The sequence below is a fragment of the Homo sapiens genome, chromosome 21, assembly GCF_000001405.40.
Source record: "Homo sapiens chromosome 21, GRCh38.p14 Primary Assembly".
NCBI lineage: Eukaryota > Metazoa > Chordata > Mammalia > Primates > Hominidae > Homo > Homo sapiens.
In genome coordinates this window covers 29,419,980-29,423,853 of record NC_000021.9, presented here as the reverse complement: position 1 = coordinate 29,423,853, position 3,874 = coordinate 29,419,980, and positions in this window count along the sequence as shown.

Here is a 3,874-nt window from a genome sequence, read left to right as displayed (position 1 = left end):
GAATGAACATCTCCCAGGGATTTATGGGGTTATTAAGTCTGGAAGGTAGTCTTGGTGAAGGCATACATTAAGACCTTGTATCCCAGGAGGATTATCTGTGGTGACAGCAACAGGAGGTGAACCTGCTCAGCCCAGCTGTGGAGTTCAGCACCAGGCTGGTGAATCCATCTTCCCAAGACCTCATGCTGTCACAGCCAGGAGACTTATGCTCTAATTATGTGCCCCTTCTTTTGCAACCCCTACAGCTTAATGGGTTTCACATTCTCTTAAGGTCTAATGTCCATTTTAAAATTGACTGACATGCCATTATCTCTCAGGTTTGGGGGGACTTGTTTCTTCCTAGGAAGGGAGTTTTGCAATATATCTATTCATCTGCTCCTGACTAGTGCATTAAAGAGAGCTCTTCTTCAATCTTGTCTTCCCACAAATGAAGTAGCACTTTGTTCTCCTAGAGAAGCTCTTTTTATGGAACTGCATTAATCACCTACATAAACCCACCTCCTCGTGCATCCCAATGCTTATGTTCCTCCTTTCTGAAGCTCTCCCCAGTTGGCAATGAAAGGAAGTGCAGACAATGAGCTGTGGCTTCTTGAAGGGCAGAGGCAGACTCCTCAGTCACCCTCTGATGAATGATTACAAGAACTCATTGTGCAAGGCAATGAAGAACATTTATGTTGATACAATACCTGGGCTTTAAAATGCCTTCCGATGACATAACACCAGGAAAAATCAACACAGCCACTTCAGCTGGGATCTCTGAGCAGGAGCCTCAGATGTACTCATTTTTAATTAAATCCCTCTCTCTCTCTCTCTCTCTCTCTCTCTCTGCAAGCCTATGAGAGAGTGGATAAGACAAGGGCAAAATATGAATGACTTATTTTAAATAAAGAGACAACCTGTAAGCTATTTTCCCTGGCCAGTTCATAAAGCTCAGTAAGTGAGTACAGTGAAAACAGAATTGTTGAAAGGTCATTCAACAGGTAATAACTGTTATTGGTTATGGTGGTAGTTTAAAAACTCACCTATTTAGGTTTCAAATAAAGTCTAGTAGTAGATAGCACCAGCTATTAAAAAACATTTTCAAAGAATATTTATAAGGCCAAGAAGAGATGTAGAGATGTCAATACACCCCTATCAGAACAATAAAAATAAAAAATAGTAACACCACCAAATGCTGGTAAGGATGTGGAGAAACTAGAACTGTCATACCTTGGTGGCAGGAATGCAAAATGAGAGAGCTACTTTTAAACCATGTAACTGGGCAGTTTTTTAGACTTGTCAGTTTCTTATTCTTTAAAAAATAAACAACTACATATGGCTAGCCAGTTTTCCCAGCACCATTTATTAAATAGGGAATCCTTTCCCCATTGCTTGTTTTTCTCAGGTTTGTCAAAGATCAGATAGTTGTAGGTATGCGGCGTTATTTCTGAGGGCTCTGTTCTGTTCCATTGATCTATATCTCTGTTTTGGTACCAGTACCATGCTGTTTTGGTTACTGTAGCCTTGTAGTATAGTTTGAAGTCAGGTAGTGTGATGCCTCCAGCTTTGTTCTTTTGGCTTAGGATTGACTTGGCGATGCGGGCTCTTTTTTGGTTCCATATGAACTTTAAAGTAGTTTTTTCCAATTCTGTGAAGAAAGTCATTGGTAGCTTAATGGGGATGGCATTAAATCTGTAAATTACCTTGGGCAGTATGGCCATTTTCACGATATTGATTCTTCCTACCCATGAGCATGGAATGTTCTTCCATTTGTTTGTATCCTCTTTTATTTCCTTGAGCAGTGGTTTGTAGTTCTCCTTGAAGAGGTCCTTCACATCCCTTGTAAGTTGGATTCCTAGGTATTTTATTCTCTTTGAAGCAATTGTGAATGGGAGTTCACTCATGATTTGGCTCTCTGTTTGTCTGTTGTTGGTGTATAAGAATGCTTGTGATTTTTGTACATTGATTTTGTATCCTGAGACTTTGCTGAAGTTGCTTATCAGCTTAAGGAGATTTTGGGCTGAGACGATGGGGTTTTCTAGATAAACAATCATGTCGTCTGCAAACAGGGACAATTTGACTTCCTCTTTTCCTAATTGAATACCCTTTATTTCCTTCTCCTTCCTGATTGCCCTGGCCAGAACTTCCAACACTATGTTGAATAGGAGCAGTGAGAGAGGGCATCCCTGTCTTGTGCCAGTTTTCAAAGGGAATGCTTCCAGTTTTTGCCCATTCAGTATGATATTGGCTGTGGGTTTGTCATAGATAGCTCTTATTATTTTGAAATACGTCCCATCAATACCTAATTTATTGAGAGTTTTTAGCATGAAGGGTTGTTGAATTTTGTCAAAGGCTTTTTCTGCATCTATTGAGATAATCATGTGGTTTTTGTCTTTGGCTCTGTTTATATGCTGGATTACATTTATTGATTTGCGTATATTGAACCAGCCTTGCATCCCAGGGATGAAGCCCACTTGATCATGGTGGATAAGCTTTTTGATGTGCTGCTGGATTCAGTTTGCCAGTATTTTATTGAGGATTTTTGCATCAATGTTCATCAAGGATATTGGTCTAAAATTCTCTTCCTTACACCTTATACAAAAATCAATTCAAGATGGATTAAAGATTTAAACGTTAGACCTAAAACCATAAAAACCCTAGAAGAAAACCTAGGCATTTCCATTCAGGACATAGGCATGGGCAAGGACTTCATGTCCAAAACACCAAAAGCAATGGCAACAAAAGCCAAAATTGACAAATGGGATCTAATTAAACTAAAGAGCTTCTGCACAGCAAAAGAAACTACCATCAGAGTGAACAGGCAACCTACAACATGGGAGAAAATTTTCGCAACCTACTCATCTGACAAAGGGCTAATATCCAGAATCTACAATGAACTCAAACAAATTTACAAGAAAAAAACAAATAACCCCATCAAAAAGTGGGCGAAGGACATGAACAGACACTTCTCAAAAGAAGACATTTATGCAGCCAAAAAACACATGAAAAAATGCTCATGATCACTGGCCATCAGAGAAATGCAAATCAAAACCACTATGAGATATCATCTCACACCAGTTAGAATGGCAATCATTAAAAAGTCAGGAAACAACAGGTGCTGGAGAGGATGTGGACAAATAGGAACACTTTTACACTGTTGGTGGGACCGTAAACTAGTTCAACCATTGTGGAAGTCAGTGTGGCGATTCCTCAGGGATCTAGAACTAGAAATACCATTTGACCCAGCCATCCCATTACTGGGTATATACCCAAATGACTATAAATCATGCTGCTATAAAGACACATGCACACGTATGTTTATTGCGGCATTATTCACAATAGCAAAGACTTGGAACCAACCCAAATGTCCAACAATGATAGACTGGATCAAGAAAATGTGTCACATATACACCATGGAATACTATGCAGCCATAAAAAATGATGAGTTCATGTCCTTTGTAGGGACATGGATGAAACTGGAAATCATCATTCTCAGTAAACTATCGCAAGAACAAAAAACCAAACACCGCATATTCTCACTCATAGGTGGGAATTGAACAATGAGATCACATGGACACAGGAAGGGGAATATCACACTCTGGGGACTGTGGTGGGGTGGGGGGAGGGGGGAGGGATAGCATTGGGAGATATACCTAATGCTAGATGACGAGTTAGTGGGTGCAGTGCACCAGCATGGCACATGTATACATATGTAACTAACCTGCACAATGTGCACATGTACCCTAAAACTTAAAGTATAATAAAAAAAAAGAAAAATAAATAAAAAAAGAAAAAAAAAGAAAAAAAGAGAAAAATCTACAGTTTTGTTCTTTCAAAAAAAAAATAAATAAAAAAATAAACGACTAAACATGTATTTACCATATGAACCAAAAAT